Raw genomic sequence first — 22,915 nt, forward strand, 5'->3', positions numbered from 1 at the left:
CTGAGACTTTCTTAACTCGGGCAGCACTGGGCATGTTCAGGAAGGACACTGAACTCGCAAAAGTGAGCAAACGCCAAGCGAGGCCTTCTCTTTTAAAAGGGGTCCAGGAATTGCTGGCCGTCGCCCTCAGTTTCACTTCTGAGTGTCACCTGACCTGGGCTCTCACAGCCAGGCTGGGACATGATCCCAACTCTTTCAGCATCTGGGCTGGACTCTGACCAAATGCTGGGAAACCAGCTACCCACGGCAACACTTCCATGAAGCACCAGCCCCAGGTAGGGCCAGGCTCTGACTCCACAGGGGACAGTTTCACCAGGAAAAGGCTCTGGATGTACCTTGGGACAGGGTATGGCGTCCATGAGCCGAGCATCCCCGGTGCCGCGGGGCAGGCCGGGAAGACACTAGCTGGACGGAGACCTGGCGGGAAGTTTTCGGGAAGCTGAAGACACCATGGCCTTTAACACTTACCTTTGCCCAAGGGCAATTCTGAAGTGCTTTGTAGAATACACCTTTGCTTCTTTCTTTATTTCCTAAGGAAACCTGAGGTGAGGGGGAGAAAATACAAACATGATTAGTTGACACAGAGAGGCTAAGGCTACACAAACGCCCCTGGATGACGGGCACAAGCCCTCAGCTGCAGTGAGCCCACCTGTGCAGAGGGCCTGGCACCGTCACGGTGGCTGTGGGACAGGGGCAGGTGCCAGGGAGCACTCTCAGAAGCCACTGCTGTGTTGGGGTTGTTTCCTCCCATTCAAATGGCCCCAGAGTGTCAATCCTGAACACTACTGACTTTTTAAAGTCTCAGATCTCCTCCTTTGCTGTAGGCTGTCACCTCTGGGTGTTAGTAACAGTGCTTGAAACCAAGGAGTGTCAGTGAGGTGAGGCTGAAGACATTATACAAATAGAGAAAATCTTCTACAATACTTATCTTAGAAAACATAGAGAAGACACTTGCTTTAATACTTGCCATTTTCTGAAAACTATCTTTTAGAGAAAAGAGATGGCCAGGACTGTGATCACTGACCTTACAAAAGGTGCAAGTTCCATCGGCAATCTCAGTATCTGTGTGGATATTCAGCACGTGTTCTCTCTAGATATAAAACCCTCCATCTCGACTCAGCCACACAGCCTCCTTCCCAGCCCAGTGTGGAAGGAGACCCAGCCTGGGACCTCCGCTGACAACAGCCCCTCTCAAGCCCTCCAAGGAATCACAGCCCACACGGGCAGCTCCACAGGTAGCTGTGCAGCCAGGAGTGGGCACAGGCAGGGCTTGTGGAGCTGAAGTCTCTGTTTCCACCCACCCCGTCCTGCAGGCTCCCCTCCCTCAGAAGGTTCTAGGGGACGCCAGCCCTGCCCAACCAAGCGGCCGGGGCACAGCATCCAGCCCGGGACCAGTGAGGGCTGCTGACCGGCTTCCCAGAAACCTGAACAGTGGCATCCAGGGACTCCACTCTCCAATTTACATCTCAGGAACTCCATCTACCAAGGATGGCCTCACTCCCTTTTCTATTTGTTTTTTGTTTGGTTTTTTTGGTTTTTTTTTTCACTGTCTATGTTGCCCAGGCTGGCCTTGAACTTCTGGGCTCAAGCAGTCCTCCCACCTCAGTCTCCCAAGTAGCCGGGACTCCATGGCCAGTCCTTCTCAACCGTTAACTCCCACAGTCACAGGGACGGAACTGTGATAACCTTGCTTCAGGCAAGGCCCAGTCTTTCCCCAGCCTCTGTGAGTGCCACGCACAGGGCCAGCTGTGAGGCTCGGAGGACTCCTGCGTGTCCTCCCTGGTGGAAGCCTCCAGTTCTGAGGCTGAGCCTCTGAATTTATAACCAAAGAGCCACTGAGCGCTGTCCTTCCTTCCCATGCTAACATACTTCAGTGTCCTTTCCTAAGATACTGACAAAATGTAACAACCATGCACAGCTAATCTCGGAACCCAACAAATCCAGGTACACAGCTGGCCAGCCTCCATCAGCGCTGGAGATGCCCTCACTGCACGGAGGTATGGAAGGGCTGGATGCCAGGTGAAAGCTTGGTGGGGACCACGTGTGGCTTCCGTCCATGATTTCATCTTCTGAGACGTGGCCTGCGTGTACCTTTGACCTCTGACTGGCGCAGTCTCGAGGGAGGGAAGAGTTCATGGGCGCTATCTGGCTCTCCTGGTCCTCCTTTCTCATCTTCTGAACTGACAACTGAGACCCCTCATGAAATTCCTAAGTCAGGACTGAAACATAACAGGGGGCAACTCTTCTTTGCTGGAGTTCCCATGGTACTGTGTCTGCACCCTATGGGATTGTGTCCAGGTAAACGTCTCCTCAGGTGGACTGGGAGCATCTCAGGTAACCAACAGGGTCTTTGCTGGGAACCTAAGAAAACAGCTAATGGAGGAGCAGAACTGCCGTGATGGGTGCCCGAGTGAGTGTGTGATTCGGCCAAGGGCAGTCTCCCAGAGGGAAGCAGGAATGGAGACTTCACACAGAGGCCACTTCCCTCACACGAAGCCCCAGGAACCGAATCTCATACAAACCATCTGAAGAACTCAGCCAACAAGATGCTGGCCGGACACGGTGGCTCACGCCTGTAATCCCAGCACTTTGGGAGGCTAAAGAGGGCAGACTGCTTGAGCTCAGTAGTTCGAGACCAGCCTGGGCAACATGGCAAAACGCTGTCTCTACAAAAATATAAAAATTAGCCCAGCACAGTGGTGCGCACCTGTGGTCCCAGCTAAGGTGTGGGGAATGCTTGAGCTCAGGAGGTTGAGGCTGCAGTGAGCTGAGACTGCGCCACTGCATTCCAGCCTGCATGACAGAGCAAGACTCTGTCTCAAAAAAACAAAAAATGCTTATGACTCAGACCTGAGCTGGGCCATAATAATTCTCCCCTGTGCGACCACGGGGGAGGCGAGTAACAGTGGCAGGCAGCTGCCCATTGGCTGCATCACTAACGTCCCAAGTGTTTGAGTCCTCCGTGTAGAGAAGCTATTTGGTGCTTTGTAATCACTTGTTTTGGCATTTGTCTACCTTCTTAGCAGACGTGTGCCACCTCCCCATGGGGGAAGCAACATCTCTAAAAAACGAGGAAGCTGAAGGTCTTAAGGCTTTTGCAAATTTTGATTCTCTTTTTTTATCTCCTTATAAACAAATGTGAGCAACTGTTAGCTTATACAATTTTTTATGTAACAAAACATAACCAACCTTGTCCAAACAAAAAAAGATGCATTTCTATAATGCTCCCTCCATGTGCTCCTGAGAGAAGACTGACACTCTGCTGAGAGGTTTATTGGTTTATCTCTGATAGAACTCAGGGGGATTCTTTTCCCTCCCACCAGCTCTTGTAAATGATGGCCTTTCAATATATACCAACTCCTGCCAGCTGTCAACAGGATGGAACAAATTATACTAGAGGGTAAAAGAAAATCTAATGATTCACAATTCAGAAATGCCACTGTTCCCTTTTTATTTAAGACTTCATCAATCCCATGAAATCAACTAACTGGCTTATATACTCATAGTTCCTTCTTTATTGTGTAGGTAGATGACCAAATTAAAGGATTTTAAGTATCTTGAAAAAACTGCAATTTTAGCTAAAACAACAAAACAATAAACAAGCCAGGCGCAGTGGCTCGCGCCCATGATCTGAACACTTTGGGAGGCTGAGGTGAATGGACTGCTTGAGCCCAGGAGTTCGAGGCTAGCCTGGACAATATGTGAGACACCATCTTTACAAAAAATAAAAAAAACAGCCAGGCATGGTCGTGCATGCCTGTAGTCCCAGCTACTCAGGAGGCTGACGTGAGAGGATTGCATGAGCCCAGGAGGTTGAGGCTGCAGTGAGTCGTGATAGTGCCATCGCACTCCAGCAGCCTGGGCAATAAGAAAGACCCTATCTCAAAAAAAAAAAACAAAAAAAACTTTGGCTGAGAGTGTTAATGTATATGCAAAACAGCGCATTTGAAAGTCTCTCCTAAAAATGAGGTTTTAACCTGCTAAATTCCAACATTAGTGGAAAATTTTAATTGCTGTTTGTCCAATTCCTTTCCCTCCCATATTCTCCGTGGCCAAGAATAAGCTTTAATTCCTTCAAACTTTTTTTTTTTGAGATGGAGTTTCACTCTTGTTGCCTAGACTGGAGTGCGGTGGCGCGATCTCGGCTCACCGCAACCTCCGCCTCCCGGGTTCAAGTGATTCTCCTGCCTTAGCCTCCCGAGTAGCTGGGATTACAGACATGTGCCACTACGCCCGGCTAATTTTGTATTTTTAGTAGAGACAGGGTTTCTCCATATTGGCCAGGCCGGTCTCGAACTCCCGAACTCCTTCAAACATTTTTACAGGGAAAAAAGTGCAAGCAAGCAAATAAGCTTGCATGCATGTTGCAAGAGTATATGTATGTGCATATGTATAAGCAAGCACGTATATGCACATGTACACAAAAAGGCACAATCGCACAACCAACCTCACAGCCCTCCTCCAGGGAGCCTTAGCCTTCCCCCCGGCCTGCGAGGCTCCCTTCTCCCGCCTCTTCAGGCACTCGCTACCTTCACCTTGCATGCTGGCCCTAATGTGATTTTTCACTGTGTTAACAAAGTGCTAGGAGCCTGCCCAGATGCCTCAGGAACTGCTAGGGGCAGTCTCTGCTCTAATTAGTCCTTAGTTCCAATACTACCTTTCCAAAAAGAGAGAAATTCTCTAAGGGGCCAGATCTTTTTTTCAAAGCCAATAAGCACTTTTTGTCTACAACCGAACCAAACTAGGCTCATGGAAGATTCTTAGTAAAAATATTGTACATTTGCACCTTACCCTGCCTCTACCTGTAAAAGACTGGGTAAGTTAAACTGGCAAATGTGCAAACTCCACCATTTTAAATGTAAAGATGGGTGGAATCTTTATGCTGGGAATATCAGGGAGCATCTGCTCTGCTCCCTCAGCTGAGCAGCCTGATGACAGGAGTGGAGGTTTCACTAAAACCCTGGGCTCCTGACTCTGCTGCCTCAAACTGTTGTCTCTACTAACAGCAGCATCCTGCCTGCAAGTTTCCAGCTCACACACGAGTCAAACCATAAGATCAGAGCTTCTGGGTCTGAAGAATAAATGTTAAGAGAAATGCATAAACTTTTGCAGGTTTTTTGTTTTTTTTTTTTTTGAGACAGAGTCTGGCTCTGTCGCCCAGGCTGGAGTACAGTGGCGCAATCTTGGCTCTCACTGCAGCCTCTGCCTCCTGGGTTCAAGCGATTCTTCTGCCTCAGCCTCCCGAGTAGCTGGGACTACAGGCACCTGCTACCACGCCCGGCTAATTTTTTGTATTTTTAGTAGAGATGGCGTTTCACCGTGTTAGCCAAGATGGTCTCAATCTCCTGACCTCGTGATCCGCCCACCTCGGCCTCCCAAAGTGCTGGGATTACAGGCATGAGCCACCACACTCAGACTTGGTAATTCATTTTTGATGCCAACTTCTGCCCCCAAGAATGTGCCCATTATTCCTGAGTGTGCCCATGAGCAGCTGTCCTGAGGTCACAGGTCCTGCCCAGCCCCTCAGGCCTTCAGTGCCTGGCTCCTTCCAGAGGTCAGAGAGACACACCCGATGAATTCTGGAATCAAAGACAGGCATGAGTGGGGGCCCAACAGATACGGATACTCGCTCTGTATCTCTTTACACTCCAGTTTTGTCATGTGTAACATGATCAAGTTTTGAGAATTTATCCTATGGAAATCTTCAGATATATACGTAAGATTTATGAGTAAGGAGGTCACTTTGTTTTTTTTCTATTTTTTTTTTTTTTTTGAGACAGGGTCTCACTCTGTTAACCAGGCAGGAGTGCAGTGGTGCGATCTCAGCTCACTGCAAACTCCGCCTGCAGCTCACTGCAACCTCCCTGGTTCAAGCGATTCTCCTGCCTGAGCCTCCCAAGTAGCTAGGATTACAGATGCCTGCCACCACATCCAGCTAATTTTTTTTGTATTTTTAGTAGTGACGGGGTTTCGCCATGTCGGCCAGGCTGGTCTCGAACTCCTGACCTCAGGTGATCCGGCTCCCTCAGCCTCCCAAAGTGCTGGGATCACAGGCATGAGCCACCACACCTGGCCAGGAAGATCACTTTTGATTTCCGAAACGTACAATATTCATTGAAGACCACTTGGATATGACTGAGTACCCCTGAACTAAAGCAAGAGGCCTCGAAGACTGTTTCTAAAAAAAAGTGCAACTTGGCAACAGATGTGTTACAATAAACGAGGCCCAGCCCAATGCCAGACCTTTAACCCAAGGCTGAGCCAATTCATAGACTCTATTAAGCCAAAGAGCCACCTTTCAGCTTGTACATTCACATTCACAAAATTGAACGGTGTCTCACCATATTTAATCTCTATGGTACTTTTAAATGAACACAAAGCTGCTTTAGAAATGTCGATTTTAGGCCGGGCGCAGTGGCTCACACCTGTAATCCCAGCACTTTCAGAGGATGAGACAGGCGGATCACTTGAGGTCAGGATTTCGAGACCAGTCTGGCCAACATGGCAAAATTCTATTTCTACTAAAAATGCAAAAATAAGCTGGACTCACGCTTGTAATCCCAGCTACTCAAGAGGCTAAGGCAGGAGAATTGCTTGAACCTGGGAGGCAGAGGTTGCAGTGAGCCGAGATCCCACTACTGCACTCCAGCCTGGGCAACAGAATGAGACCTTGTCTTAAAAAAAAAAAAAAAAAAAGGAAATGTTGATTTTTTTTTTCTTTTTTTTGAGACGGAGTCTCACTCTGTCGTTCAGGCTGGAGTAGAGTGGCATGACCTTGGCTCACTGCAGCCTCTGCCTCCCGCGTTCCAGCGATTCTCCTGCCTTAGCCTCCCAGGTGGCTGGGATTACAGGTGCATACCACCACACCCAGCTAATTTTTGTATTTTTAGTAGAGACGGGGTTTCGCCATGATGGCCAGGCTGGCCTCGAACTCCTGACCTCAGGTGATCTGCCTGCCTTGGCCTCCCAAAGTGCTGGGATTACAGGCATGAGCCACCATGCCCAGCCGGAAATGTTGATTTTAAAAATTACATTCTAGATTACATTTTTTTTTTAAGAGACAAGGTCTCATTTTGTCACCCAGGCCGGAGTGCAGTGGTGTGATCATAGCTCACTGCCACCTCAAACTCCTGGGCTCAAAGAATCCTCCTGCCTCAACCTCTGATGTAGATGGGACCAAAGGCTCACAGGCACCATGCCCAGCTAATGTTTTAATTTTTTTGTAGAGATGGGGTATCACCATCTTGATTAGGCTGGTCTCGAACTCCTGGGCTCAGACGATTTTCCCGCCTTGGCCTCCGAAAGTGCTGGGACTACAGGCCTGAACCACGGCACCCAACCTGAACCTTTTAATAACAAAACAATCAGGACCTAGAAATTCTTATGAGCAGAATAGCAAAGAATATAGGTCTCTTTCAAAGGAAAGCTCTTAGACCATTTTGCAAGTTACCGACTTAAGTCAACTCAGAGAAACCCACATTAAATCCTATTGCACTGAATAGCCCAGTAACTACTCAACTTCGTTCTACCAAATATTTCGAGAAGATGGACTACTTGCAACCTCTTCCCAAGTCCTGAGAGATCTGACATTATTCCATCAGGATTTCTTAGAGATTCACCAATGCCAAGAAGATGAGAGTGAAATATGGCCTCCCAGCTCTCCTGGGCAGGGGCTACTTCTCATTTCATAAATACCTTCTCATTTATGAAGGAAGAGGTAGAGCTCTGCATGAACACAAAACATCTCAATATTTTCTTACCAGAAAGTTCAAATACATCCTCCACAGCAAGGGGCACTGGCTGCCACTGTCGCTGCGCATGGCATTTTCAAACAGGGCTTGGATCCGATGCATTAAGCCGGTCTCAGGAATTGTGGCGTGGATCTCTCTACCGTCTAACCTGCAAGGCAAAGGCTCACGTGACTCTGACACAAGCTCTCTCATCCTACATCACAGAAGGAAGAGATGCCTGAGTGATGATAAGTGTCAGCAACAACCAGATCAGACAGACTCAGGGGAGAACTGTCCCTCAGGCGTAGAGCGCTGTGTATGGGGCTTCTCCAAGGCCAGGAGAAGGCACAGGCCAGAGTTCTGTGGTTTCCACACCACATCGAATCTGTCTTGAAGTCACACAAAAACCCACTCGCCTCTGTTTTCTAAAGAAAGCTACCCTTTGCTGGGCGCAATGGCTCATGCCTGTAATCCTAGCACTTCGGGAGGCCAAGGTGGGTAGATCACAAGGTCAGGAGTTGGAGACCAGACTGGCCAATATGGTGAAACCTTGTCTCTACTAAAAATACAAAAATTAGCTGGTGCCTGTAGTCCCAGCTACTCGGGAGGCTGAGGCAGGAGAATTGCTTGAACCCGGGAGGCGGAGGTTGCAGTGAGCTGAGATCACGCCACTGCATTCCAGCCTGGGCAACAGAGTGAGACTCCGTCTCAAAAAAAAAAAAAAAAAAAAAAAAAAAAAAGAGAAAGAAAGCTACCCTTTAATCAGCAGAATGCAAATTCTACTTTACAGGAAGAAAAGACCTTTTGATTTATAATAGAGAAAGCAAGGCTCACATAGAGTGAACAAAATCCCAATGGAAGAAATAAAAAACAAGTGAAATATTATTCAAAGACAATTTTGGCTTATAAGGTCAGAGTGAAGCAACAGCAAAGATTCTGGGAAAACAATGATGCCTAAGCTAATGTGTCCCCCAGATTAACATTTAACCTTTAGAGAGAAAATACTGGATCAGGCCGGACACTGTGGCTCCCTCCTATAATCCCAGCACTTTGGAAGGCTGAGACGGGTAGATCGCTTAAGCTCAGGAGATGGAGACCAGCCTGGGCACTATGGCAAAACCCCGTCTCTACAAAAAATAAAAAATAAAAAAATTAGCCAGGCGTGGTGGTGCCTGTAGTCCCAGCTACCGGGGAGACTGAGGTGGGAGGATCACTTGAGCCCAGGAGGTCAAGGCTGCAGTGAGCTGAGACTGCACCACTGCACTCCAGCCTGAGCGACAGAGTAAGACCCTGTCTCAAAAAATAAAAATAAAAAAAGAAAATATCGTATCAAAGATGGAATTTAAACATGACACTTCTGTCACTAGGAATGCTGACAGAAGCTCCCAGTCATTACACACTTTGTACCAAGCACTTACCTCACTGACCCCTCAGAGAGACCCTATGAAGTAGGTTTTTCATTCCCATTTGACAGAGAGGGAGCTATGAGAGGGGAAGTGGCCTGCTCGAGTTCACCCAGCCGAGAAGAGCTGGCACTGGAATCCAGAAAGCTGCCACCTGGCCCCGGTGCTCTTAGCCATCAGGCTTTCGTGACGGCTTCTCAGCATTCCCGTGATCTGACAGCCACCACCCATGCACACAGAAACAACATTCATACTCCCCAGAAGCACACCCAGGCGACAGCCACCAACCCCCCTCCTGAGAGGCGCCGCTACTTTGTGTCTCGCTTGCCTTTCAATCCGTTATCCTATGACACCTACAGCCCCACGGCAGGTGTTCTGGGCACCGTGCCATGTTCATCCCTGTCTTCCTGAGACCCAGCAAGGTCAGGGCAACACAGCAAGCATTCCATAAACATTTGCGGGGCACACGAACAGAACGGTCTGGAATTACCTCTGGACAGTTTCCACCAGTCTCTTCCTCAGTTTCTCAGCTTCAATTGCAAACAACCAAGGCTCCAAGGGTTTGGCAGACCTGGTGATTGTGTCAAAAAATCTCCTGGTTTTGCTGGCACTGTGGGACTTATTCTGAATCTGTACATAGGACCTCCAAAGAACCTGGTTGCCTGGATACAACTTTAAAGCCTGTGAGAGTGCCTCTCGCAGAGGGGCCAGCGGGTAAACACTCACTTTCATGTGGAATCTCAGCAGGCTCGTGTGCATCAGTGTGATGGCTTCGAGAACACTGGTCCAACTCTGGGAGCTGGCACTGTCCCCCTCGCCAGAGCCTTCTGGGAAAACAGAACTGTTCAGTTTTGCAAACACCTGTTCGTATATCTGCACAGCAGCATCAATCCCTATGGTCAAATACTGGAAGAGCATGAAGCATTTAGCCAGGCTAATTAGGCGGCTACAGGAATCGGTGGGAGCTGGATTGGAGACACAGCTGTCACCCAAACAGTCCTGCAGTGCGTGCTCATAAGCCTTTCGCGCTTTCAAAATGTGAACAGCCAACACCTGTCCAGTGTAGGGCCCATAGGGGCTGCTCTCAGTCAGCTTGGTTAATATGTGAACAGCTCGAGCTGTGGCAGCCCTTCTCACTTCTGGCGACAGCTCCACCTCCAGCTCAGCATAGAGCAGACTGAGCTCACAGAGGTCAGAGTCTTTCAGTTCTCTGCTTCCTGCCATGCCAAGTGCTGTGTCAAAAACTTTTCTGGCATCCTCCGTGTTGCCAAGCAACCACTCCAGATGTGCATACTGCTTCCACAGGCAAAAGTTGTTGCAGTTTTCTGGCTCCTTAAGGAGATTCTTGGCTAGTTTTTTGCAGTTCTTCCCTTGAGACTTTAATCTCTTCTTGTTTTTAGTGTGCAGGCACCAAATGACCTACAGGGAAAAAGAGAAGAATGACTGCAGGTGCTCTGTAATTAAGGCGTCCTCTGCTGCCAACTGTAGAAAGCACTGACAGGAAAAAAGGCGTCTACGCTTCCTCCCTTTATCACGGGTCTGGTAAACACTGAGGCTCTCTGAGCTGGAAAAGAAATAAGGATTTTTACCAGGGCCACAACTGCCCCCAAATTTATAATCCAGGGTTCCAGCTGAAATCTCTATAAACAAAGCTGATACCTACAAATGTTCTTCTCCAAAGAGATGTGGCCACAACATTTCAACACACTATTTCAATACAGCCTGGTGTGTGTAATCTGTAGTTGAAGCTTCAGAACTTGGGTGCTAAGAGAGCCAGTACTAACTGTGGCCAGCAGAGGACAGAACAGCTGATCCAGACTCATTTCTAGCAGAAACAGGAGGGTAAGTATTATCAGTAGCTTATCTATTATTTATTTTTGAGATGGAGTCTCACTCTGTCACCCAGGCTGGAGTGCAATGGTGCGATCTCAGTTCACGGCAACCTCTACCTTCCATGTTCAAGCGATTCTCCTGCCTCAGCCTCCTGGGCAGCTGGGATTACAGGCACACGCCACAACGCCCAGCTAATTTTTGCATTTTTAGTAGAGACGAGGTTTTGCCATGTTGGCCAGGTTGGTCTCGAACTCCTGACCTCAGGTGATCCGCCCGCCTCGGCCTCCCAAAGTGCTGGGATTACAGGCGTGAGCCACCGCGCCTGACGCTGATCTATTTTAATAAGCCCCTGAATGCTCTGACGCTGCTTTAAAACTATTTTGAGCACTCATTGTTCATGTAAGGACGGGGACCTGGTAGTGCAAGATAATACAATAAACAGCTCGAGAGTCACTGAGGTAGCCTGACTCGTTCCTGCCTTACTCCTCTTCACTGCGGACCCTCAGAAGGGCAAACACACACAAGGTGCCTTCAGGGTCACTGGAGGAGGAGGTGCTGGGGCATAGTTCCAGGGAGAGCACTCGGAGGCTTACAATCCCGTTTATAAACACTGACATGAAATGAAAAGTCCCCAAACATGGGAGGACGAGTCTGGAATTACCTTTGCAATCTCATACTGTAACCAGGAGAAGCAGAGCTGGGACTTCTCTTTGCCTGAAAATAAAGGCATGACAAGGTGGAAGACATTGCGGATGAACTCCTCGCCCTCTCGGTTCTGACCCCTGGTCCAGCGAGGATAGCCCAACCTATCCATGCGGCCAACACAGCTAGCCCCAGAAAACAAAGGGTTGAAAAAAGTCAAGGGCTTTTCATCATAAAGTCCATTATCAAAGATGCTGTTCTCATCCATGGCCAGATAAAGACAGGAGGCTGGAGGAGTAAAGCCAGAAGGCACACCCAAGAACTGCAGGAAGGCCTCCACCAGCTGGAACTGAAGATCATGGCTGGAAAGTCTGATCAAAGATTGCCCAATATCATCAAACAACACCTGCAACAAAGACAAAATAAAGCGACCCATGTAACAAAACAAAACCCGCACATTTGTCACAATTCTCTTTATATGCATGTACTAATGGTTCAACATTATTCAAATTAAATCAATTTTAAACAGACAGGAGCTAAGCTCTCTGTTAGCACAAGCCAGAGGCCTTGCAAGGCAACCTGGACAGCTGGAGAATAACTGTTAGGCAGCCCTGTGGTGCCATTAACATTTCAACACATGGGAAAGCCTGAGGAGGAGAGAAGCCATGAACGGGTTTAAGCCAGAAGCTTTCAAAGTATCCTGATGGATTTGTAGAAAATCTAGAAACATGTTCACTTCTGAAAGCATACATAATTGCTTTTGTACTTTGATAACGCATGATGGTGAAAAATTTGTATTGTAAGATGGAAGATAAGAACTTTACTATTTGTGGTTTCCTTGTACAAAATTGCTCCAAGAAATGAAAAATATACTCAAAACTAGATAAACAGACAAAACTAGATAAACAGACTCAAGGTAAGAAGGAACCTACAGGAGCAATGGAGCACATTAAAAGCAATTATAAGAGCCTAACACTAACTGTAAATGTCTACAGCTGAGTTCATGTAATAATTTAAAAACATAAGGGCCAAGGAGGCCACCCTTTGTGTCCTGGTGCTGCTTATCTGATTGGTCTTTGTGGCTCTCAGCAAAGCGGAAATCATAACACAAGCACAATAAACTAGAGTATGTGGGACTCAATCAAAACCATCAATTAATCAGAAAGCTGCTCTTTATGTTAAAAATAAATTAGAAAGCTTTTCTCCCCCAGGCTTTGATTACAGAAAAAGCTAAATGGCAAGAAATCGCTTGCAGCAGCAGTCTGCTCCAGAAATCTGCTTCCAGGAGACTGCTGGGACTCTAAGCCTTGAGAAATGACTTCCAGAAGGGTGGCTGTGAACTCTACAAAATCCTCAGATACCAAAGAAAGATTCCACTCTTCTGCAGACATTCAGCTTCAGCGAGGCAAGAGGCCTCCCAGGTAAGTACCCTCTCCAAGACTTCCAGTGAGTTGAGGCTTCCCTAGAAGCTGGCCCCTTCTTCCTCCAGAGATCACCTCTGTCTCTATCCCCACTTCTCTGTGTCCTCACTCCAGTCTGGCCACCCCATTCCCCACTCCTCAAACGCTCCTGGCACTCTGGGGCCTTCACTTGTGCTGATCCCTCTGCCCAGAGCAGATGCTCCGTCATCAAACAAATATTCCTTCAACATCCAAGAGGATTCACCGAGTGCTCACCACAGGACAAATGCTGTTCTAGGCACTGACGTCAGAGCACTCAACAAAAGGGATAAACTCCTTGCCTTCAGGGCGCCTCGTTTGTAGAAAAGGTCACAGAGCTCCAAGACACAGAGTTGGTATCTGGTTAAACTGGATCAATTCCAGGTATCGAGACAGCATTTCTTCATTTTAATTTAAAACCTCCAGAGCTGCTGGCCACTAAACACAGAGCAGCATGTAACAAGTCACACGGTAACAGTAAATGAGATAACACAGATGAACTGCCTGGCACGCCACAGGTATTCAATAAACACTAGTTTCTTCTTCCGCAAGACACGCTGATGCCAACTGTCCAACATGGACCCTACGGCCAGTCCCTCTTGTCTTCTAGAGTCCAGTCTATCTGCTACAGCTTCACGGACCCAAGAGTGGGGTGGGGAAAGTGGACACAAGGAAAGAATCTAGGACAGTGATTCCGAGTTTTTTGAATAATCTGTATGTATCCCACAGGGCTCCACATGAAAAATTAACTGAATGACCTGGAAGACAATCTCCAGAGGGGTGACCACAAGGGCCCACCCACCTACTAGGGGACAGAAGCTCTCTGGTCAAGCACCTATATGCTCCCCCATCACCAGCAGCCAAGGAAATTCTACACTGATATCCAGCAGGAAGGAAGTTTCCACAGATGAGAACAGGAGCAGGTTAGCATCTCCTAAGCTAGCCAACTGCTAAGAGAGCTCCAGCGGCCTCCTTTCAGATAACCAAAGCGCATGGGAATGGAAAGCAGGCAGGGACCCCCTGGACAGCTTCCTGCCTGGGGCGGAGGATACATGCCTGTCTCTCGGGATCCTCACAGTCTTCCTCGGTTTGCTTCTTGGTCTTATCAGGGCGCCAGGGCCGCCAGTGCCTCTGGTCACGGGAACGCTCAGCAGCAAGCCAGATCTGCCACCTGGGCAGAGTCTTATCTTTTATTTCCTGGTCATCCTCTTCTGGTTCATCGTCATCCTCATCTAGACAAGAATGAGACTTCTTCACCTCATCAGCAAATAAAACCACCATCGCCACTCAATCAGCCTGCTATGTCAGGGACTGTTGGGCACCCGCAATGCCAAGATGTGTAAGAGCCATGCCAGTCTCCCAGGATACTCAGTGGCATTTAGGAACTCTTTGTAATCAATCAAGTCCTCAGGAAGCAAAGGAAGACAAGGTGATCAAATCAAATTATTTTTAATAGTATAGTGATTAAAATGGAAATGACACATACTCTAGAACAGTACTGTCCAACAGAACTCGCTGTGATGATGAAAATGCCCTACATACCTGCATTAACAGGGTAGCCACATGTGACTCACTGGGCACTTGAGATGTAGCTAGTAAAGGAACTGAATTCCTTTTTTTTTTTTCTGAGATGGAGTCTCGCTGTTGTCGCCCAGGCTGGAGTACAGTGGCACAATCTCTGCACACTGCAATCTCCGCCTCCCAGGTTCAAGCAATTCTCCTGCCTCAGCTTCCTGAGTAGCTGGGATTACAGGTATGTGCCACCATGCCTGGCTAATTTTTTGTATTTGGTAGAGATGGGGTTTCACCATGTTGGTCAGGCTGGTTTCGAACTCCTGATCTCAGGTGATGCACCTGCCTTGGCCTCCCAAAGTGCTGGGATTACGGGCATGAGTCACCAGGCCTGGCCTGAATTCTTAATTTTATTTAATTTTAAATAGCCACATGTGGCTAGAGGTTACTGTATTAGACAACACAGTTTTAGAATGCTAAATGACATTTGATGATGGCACTAGTTTAGATTTTCTTAAGTCATCCGAATTTTTAGCCAGGGACCGTATAATTAATTATGACCTATGCTCACTAGAACTTGCCTTTAAAAAAGCCAAATCAATATCCAATAATTTATTTCACTTTGTTTCCTAACTCTGAACATGTAGAAGGGAAGAGGAAGAAAGCCAGAGTTATCTGTAAAGTTCAAGGTTAAAAAATAAAGTATACAAAATGGTACAGCCACACAGGAAATCATTTTGGCAGTTTCTTACAAAACTAAACATGCACTTAGCATAACTGCACTCTTGGGCACTGATCCCAGATAAATGAAAACCTACGTTTACACAAAAACCTATATGCTAATACTCAGAAGCAGCTTCATGCATAATCGCCAACACCTGGAAACAATCCAAACATCCTTCAGTAGGTTGAACAGTTAAGCTGTGGTCCATTTACACAATGGAATACTACTCAGCAATCAACATGAACAAACCATTGATATATGCAACAATTTGTAGGTATCTCAGGGAAGTTATGCTAAGTTAAAAAAGCCAATCTCAAAAAGTTACACAAAACACAACTGTTCCCAGGGATGTGGACAAATCGGAAGCCTGGTGCCCTGCTGGTGGGAATGTAAAATGGTGCAGCTGCCGTCTGCTGTATGGAAAACAGCATGGCATACTAGACACAGGATTACCATATGAGGCGATTCCACTGCTGAATATCTACCCAGGAGAACTGAAAGCAGAGTCTCAAACAGATACTGTACACCCATGTTCATAGCAGCATTATTCACAATGGCCCAGAGGTGGAAGCAACCAAAATGTGCATTGACAAATGGATGGTATACACACATAGTGGAGAAGTGTTCGGCTTTAAAAAGGAAGGAAATCCTGGCGTGACATGGATGAACCCTGACGACACTACGCTAAGCGGAATCAGCCAGTCACAGGAGGTCAACTACTGTATGATTCCACATCCACCAGGTTCCTAACGTAGTCACATTCATAGAGACAGAAAGTAGAATGACTGCTGGGGCCTGGGGGGAGGGAGAAGTGAGGAATTTGTCTTTAATGGGTACAGACTTGGGGAAGATGAAAAAGTTGCAGAGGTCGATAGAGGTGATGGCTGCATGGCAGTGTGAATGTACTTAATGTCACTCAACTGTACACTTAAAAATGATCAATTTTATATTATATTTTACAACTAAAAAATTTTGTTAATGTTATATACCTTATGATTCCATTTATATAACCTTCATGAGATAACAGGAAAACAGAGAGAGAACAGATTAGTGGTTCCCATGAGTTAGGAGGGGGAAGGGGCAGACGTGGCTAAGAAAGGATACTGTGAGGGAGCCCTGCAGTGATGAAACAGTCTGATCTTGATTGTGGTAGTGATTACACAAAGCTACACACGTGACAGAAACTGCCTAGTACCATAGAAACACACACACCAATGAGTGCATGTAAAATGGTGAAATGTGAATGAACTGCAGACTGTACCAATGTCAGTTCCCTGGTTCTGACATTATACTGTGGTACTACCACTGGAAGGAACTGGATGAAGGGTGCACAAAACCTCTGGGTACATTTTTTCTACTTCTTGTGACTCTATACTATTTCAAAATAAAACATTTTTAAAAACTTAAAACACATAATATGTATACGTAGTATAATAATAATATATTGTGTATATTAGCATTATAGATCATATATATTAGCATAATGTATATATTAGCATTCTATTATTCCACCAATATTCTGCCTAAATGCTCTTCTGAGTTTCTCAAAGAAGAAAACTGAATGTATTTATCACCTTCTTCTAAAGATCTATGTTTAAAGTAATCCTTTAATCACCCTGAAAAACTCTTATAAGAGAAATTACCTTTGTGAGTCATACATCAGACTTAGATACCTGAATTTACTACATTAAGGACTCAAAAGATTACAGAGCTTTGGACACACATTCATGTATAACAACTACATACTAACAGAAAGTGAGGGCAAGAGAGAAGAAACATGCTATGATAAATGCTTGACTGCAGGATGAAATCAACTACCCTCTCAACGCTAACCTTTCAGGGTAAATAAGAGAAGTTAAAAATAAAATAAAAACAAAAATTGTTATCAATTAGGTTTGCTGGAATCAAGAAAATTTTCAGCCTTTCTTTTGACCCTTCTAGTTTTTTGGAGGACTTCCATTAAATTCATTAGAAAGAAATTCATAAATTCAGCAAGTTTCTCCATAATGGAAATGTGTGAGAAGCTTGCAGAGAATGTAAGTACCAACACAAGTCTCTAACTTGATGCTAAAAGTCAAGGTTTTGATATTCATTTGCATTCCCTTTTGGAGAAAACTAACTTTACACCTGATTTTAAGTGACCATTAGATATCTGGAAACTTATCAGAAGTAAAATTAGTCTGTGGACACTGCTATGAAAACTTTATTGTCACAGAAATGCAGAACACAGCAAACCGTGTAACAGATACTATGCATTGTAATGGGCTCGCTCTCTAACAAAAACCAAACAAAACCAAAAAACAAAAAAACTAAGCCTAAAAACACAGACCCATGCTAAGTCAGTCACTCAGAGAGGAGAGTTACTAATCAGACTTCTGTTTTTTTGGCCTTTGCTTATGCGGTCTTGCAGACTCAGTGGCTGAGTGCAATACCTACTTCCGTTTCATGCAGGCTGTTTTTCTTCATACATAAAACCACTGGTCAGCCTGATGAATAGTTCTCATTCTTTTTGGAAAAGAACACTCCAGGGAAATCTAAACAGCTGAGACTCTGACAGCCCCAAGTGAGGCATGATCACTGCCTGACAGCACTGCCCAGAGGAGAGTTACCCCAAAACACCTGAAGGGCCCCTCTCGCTTCTTAGTGGTAATAGAGATGCTCCCTGGCCCGGAGCTCTGAACTGTCGTGCAAGACAATACCTAATCCAAAGTTTTCATGGTGCAAATGAATAAACAAAGAAAGGTCACACCTGTGAGAAGAGGCTCACTGAGCCTAGGCAAGGAGTCAATCTCCTGAGTCCTTGTCCATCACTCTTTCCCTATAGAACTTTCAACGAAATCATCATCTGCCTGGCAGATCTCTCTCTATGCTGGAACTGCCTTTCGGGGAGTGAAGCAGTTCCTGAATGTCTTAGAGTTGTGCTGTCCAATACGTCACCATTAATATGTGGCTATCAAGCACTTGAAAAGTAGCTAGTCTGGGCTGGGTGCGGTGGCTCACATCGGAAATCCCAGCACTTTGGGAGGTAGAGGTGGGCGGATTACTTGAGGTCAGAGGTTCCAGACCAGCCTGGACCAATACAGTGAAACCTTGTCTCTACTAAAAATACAAAATTAGGAGGGCGTGGTGGTGCATACCTGTAATCCCAGCTACTTGGGAGGCTGAGGCACAAGAATCCCTTGAACCTGGGAGGCGGAGGTTGCAGTGAGCCAAGATCGAGCCACTACACTCCAGCCTGGGCAACAGACCAAGACTCTGTCTCAAAAAAAAAAAAAAGAAAAAAAAGAAAAGTAGCTAGTCTGAACTGAGATTTGCTAAAAGTGTAAAATACACACCAGATTTCAAAGAGTACTAAAAAAAGAATGCAAAATACCTAGTTAATAATTTTTTTTCTTTTTAAAGCATGCAATTGGCATCTGAATCTCTGGTTAATAATTTTAAAATACTAATTACATACTGAAATGTTTTGATATACTAGATTAAGTAAAATACACTATCAAAATTAACATCATCTGTTCCTTTTTACTTTTTTAATGTGGCCACTAGAAAATTTGAAATTACACAAGAGGCTCACATTATATTTCTATTGGGCAGCTCTGTATTAGAGTATAAATCTGGAAAGTATTTGGGGGTCATTTAGAGTGACAGTTATGTAAATGCTAGGTAATAATTACTTTATAATAGTCCTAAAAAGGTATTTTTCAAAGTATCTGTTGGTCTGTACACTGACAGGATAACAAAAAGACTGTCTGAAATACACACTAAAAAAGAATGGGGTCGGGCGTGGTGGCTCACACCTGTAATCCCAGCACTTTGGGAGGCTGAGGCAGGCAGATCGCTGGAGGTCAGGTGTTTGAGACCAGAGAGACCAGCCTGGCCAACATGGCGACCCTATCTCTACCAAAAATACAAAAATTAGCTGGGCATGGTGGCAGAAGCCTGTAATCCCAGCTACTCAGGAGCCTGACGCATGAGAATTGCTTGAACCCAGGAGGCAGAGGTTGCAGTGAGCTGAGATCCTGCCACTGCACTCCAGCCTGGGTGACAGAGCGAGATTCTGTCTCAAAAAAAAAAAAAAAAAAAGAATGAGGATTGGGGCAGTTATTAACAAGATTCCTTCTTCAGTTGCAGCCTATAAAAGGAAAAAGGGAAATTACAGAAACTTTCAAATCCTCAAAGCATTATGTACTGAAGGAATAAGTCCACTGCTTTAAAACTTCTAAGGGGAACCCATGACATCTACTTAACATTTTTGACATTTTGATGTTTGTGCAATATTCTGAAGCTACTGATAAATAGCTTAAGCAGATAAATAATCATGAGGATGTAAAAACAAATTCCAGAAGAAACAGAAGTACACGTCTTCAATGAGAGGTGACTTACCTGGGTTGATGACCACCCAGCCACCTCGTTCCTGCTGGTGCATCCACGCCTTCCAGCCTCGGGCTCCCTTCTCCCCAGCCCGGGGCTCTCCACTGTCCCAAAAGGGTTCAAAGAATTCCACCTGTTCAGATTTTAGAATGGACGTTAGACCTCACTTGTATAAAACTGCTGAGTCAGTGGGCAAAATCCGCGCTGGTGGATATAAGAGAAGCTTATGATCCTTGAAATCATGTTTGCCATCAGTCTTTGAAGTAGATACATGCTACACACCCCAAGATAGAAAAAAGATCTATCTAGCGTGGCAGGCAGCTTCCAAGATAGCCCCCATGACCCTACCTCTGCCTTGTGGTTTTCACACTCGCATGTGAGCTGGACCTAGTGATTCCAACACACAAAATATGGCAAAAGTGATGGGGGGTCACTCCCGGGATTAGGTTACAAAAAGACCAGCTGAGGTTCAGCAAGAAGGGTCTCCAGATGGGTAGGAAGGGAGTAGTTTCCTAGTTCTTATCCTGCCAGGCCAGTCTAACCAGGGACAGTGGCACTGCCAGTTCACCTAGTATCACTGGACCCCCGAGCTAATTCCTAAAGTCATGCCGCTTTCAAGATATTTTGAGAGGAAGGTTCCAACAAGACAGACCATGAGCTACGTGACACAACCATATCTTAAGTAACTATATATTCCTAACACCTGGCACAATACTTACTGCCTAGCAGGGACTCAATAAACGCTTGTTGGCACAGATCTGAACAAGGCAGGCGACCAGGGAGTAAAAAGGTCTGCATTTTTTATTTTTATTTTTGAGACAGAGTCTCGCTCTTGTTGCCCAGGCTGGAGTGCAGTGGTGTGATCTTGGCTCACTGCAACCTCCACCTCCCCGGGCTCAAGCAATTCTCCTACCTCAGCCTCCCGAGTAGCTGGGATTACAGGCATGAGCCACCACACCCAGCTAATTTTGTGTTTTTTTAGTAGAAACAGGGTTTCTCCACGTTGGTCAGGCTGGTCTCCAACTCCTGACCTCAGGTGCTCTGCCCACCTTAGCCTCCCAAAGTGCTGGGATTACAAGCCTAAACCACCGCGCCCAGCCTAAAGGTCTGCATTTTAAAGCCTGGCCCCATTAGCACCTCCCTCATTCATTCGAGCATTAGGTGTGTGGTAAGCAGCTCACTGGCAATAAATCTTTCCCTATGGAACAGAATGTGAACACAGCAATGAACAGAAACGTGATCATGTTATCAACTGGAAACAGGACTGTGAAAGTGAGCCAATAACCTACTCAGTGAAAGCTTTTGTAAGAAACCTTTTGAAGAGGACAAGCAGGCTTCCAGTGGGCACAGCATGGGCCATGAGCCACAGGATTATCTAGCCTGAGCCCTGGGCAATGCCACACACGCCTGGAGGAGTATTGCCTCCAGGAGAGTCACGTCAGGGCAGGGCAAACGTCCTGACACGTCAGTCATCCTCAGAAAGGGGAACCAGGACGACTACGCTCCCTCTTTAGAGGTCTGGCTCTTGTAAGAGTGAAGAAAGAAAGTTTACTTAAGAAAAAAAATTTTTTTTAAATAGTGTGATAAATGAGTATAATCTATTTGTTTATTCCACAGAAACGCAGACCAGTAATATCAGACCTGCCTGTGTTAAATCACGCTACTGTGTTCACGGTAACAACGTCTCTCAGTTATAAAAGCAATATGGAATATTAGTAAATAAGAAACTTTATTCCAAAGTTGTCATGTAAATGCTTTGGAATCACATGTGCTATTCGTGTTTAAAACCTCAAGCACGAGGATCGGGGTCTCCCAACACTTTAGAGCAGTGGTCTTCGATGGGTCACATTTGTAGGCAGAACCCTCCACCCATCACTCTGTTCTTATCACAGAGGGTCTTAGGAAAGGGGCAGGGGGAGGGGGTGAGAGAAATTCTGATCCTGACCCACAAGGTTCCTTAGAGTCAGCTGAGAATCACTTCTGTAGTACAGCCTATTCTTAAAATCTCACAGCATGTCTTAAAATTACTCTGTTATATGGTTTATTAATGATTGATTATAGCAATTTAACTGGTATAATTCTTTAATCCAATTTTTTCTAGAGGTAGCATCATGATAAAAATGGTCTTTACTGGCAATTCATGAAACTCCCACATGACGGAGGCCTTGGCCTCTCAAGAAACACTTTTGAATGTTCACCATAAACTCATATATTCTATTTATCTTCCACTAGACATCTTTACAGAGTAGAAAACTGAGTTTTATTTAGTGGAAAAAGGGAAAAGATACATTTTCTTATATACATAGCTCTATAAAAATTCTTTATTTCTTCACTTATCTTCATTTATCTCAAACATTGGCAATGCTCGCTTGTCATCTAAAGGATTAACCCTTCCCCAATAAGGATCACTGTTGACAAGGTATCTCTGTGTAATTTCATTTGCAACTCTAGCGAAGATTGTGGGTACTTAGAAGGTTAACTGAGGAAGTGATGCAAGACCCAAACTAGAATGTGTAAGGGTGGAAGAGAGTAATACAAGGTTTAAAATGGCATGACAACTGTTTCCCTGACTAGGGGAGCCAATCAGCATTTAAACAAAGGCAGAAAGGGGATGGGGGGGAGGAGGGGAGGGGAGGAGGAAGGGGAGGGGAAGGGGGCAGGGAAAGGAAAAGGAAAGGAGGAACACAGGCAGGCAGGCAGGCAGGCAGGGTGGGAGGGTGAGTCCTCAGAGAGCCTTTATGTTGTGAAGGAGGGGGAAGCTTCTTTACCTATCCACATCTCACCATTTTCATTACAAAACTTTCCTCAGATCACTGGACTATTTCTGAGAATTCCTCCTCAGCAGACTGATATAAAGGAGGATATGATATTTTAAAAACACTACCACACCACCTCTCATTATCCACACCACCTCTCATTATCCACACCTTCCCCCTCTCCCTCCAGAGAAAGAGCCAGGAAGAGAGAGATGAGGCGAGCAGAGCTGGGTACCTGTCCTTTGGTAGGCAGATCTTTCACGCTGTCGGGTTTGAAGAAGGTGAAGTCCACCATGGCCTGGAACAATGAGATGGCCTTCTCAGAGTGGCCAGCCTGCCGCAGAAAGTGGCACTGCTGAAGAAAGAGTGCTGCGAACAGGAGGGCAAAGGGGAAGAAGCCTGGTTGATACCGTTAAAGGGAAAGAACCTAACTTCTCAAAACAGGCAATTAACACATTGAGAACACCTTTCACCTGCAATCACTATTAATTTACAAAGCTGTGAT

At 45.9% G+C, this 22,915-nt stretch overlaps 1 protein-coding gene across 1 annotated transcript in view, besides 1 other annotated feature; it reads right to left on the minus strand.

Annotated features, from left to right (window-relative positions):
* Positions 1–22,915, minus strand: part of NRDE2 (NRDE-2, necessary for RNA interference, domain containing) — a 64,082-nt gene that overhangs the window by 10,734 nt on the left and 30,433 nt on the right. Inside the window, exons 7-13 of the mRNA NM_017970.4 lie at positions 22,646–22,779; positions 19,667–19,787; positions 14,104–14,279; positions 11,628–12,014; positions 9,624–10,552; positions 7,761–7,899; positions 469–540 (exon numbers count right to left, since the gene is read on the minus strand). Coding sequence (NP_060440.2) covers positions 469–540; positions 7,761–7,899; positions 9,624–10,552; positions 11,628–12,014; positions 14,104–14,279; positions 19,667–19,787; positions 22,646–22,779 — 1,958 coding nt within the window. The remainder of the gene's footprint in view (positions 1–468; positions 541–7,760; positions 7,900–9,623; positions 10,553–11,627; positions 12,015–14,103; positions 14,280–19,666; positions 19,788–22,645; positions 22,780–22,915) is intronic.
* Positions 12,810–14,009: an enhancer, noted in NCBI's record as "CDK7 strongly-dependent group 2 enhancer chr14:90757747-90758946 (GRCh37/hg19 assembly coordinates)". NCBI's record gives its function as "activates an origin of replication core promoter dependent on BRD2, BRD4, P300/CBP, MED14 and CDK7 cofactors, with strong dependence on CDK7, by STARR-seq in HCT116 cells {active_cell/tissue: HCT116}" and the evidence as "EXISTENCE:reporter gene assay evidence [ECO:0000049][PMID:35650434]".

Source organism: Homo sapiens, chromosome 14 (assembly GCF_000001405.40).
Source record: "Homo sapiens chromosome 14, GRCh38.p14 Primary Assembly".
Taxonomy (NCBI): Eukaryota; Metazoa; Chordata; class Mammalia; order Primates; family Hominidae; genus Homo; species Homo sapiens.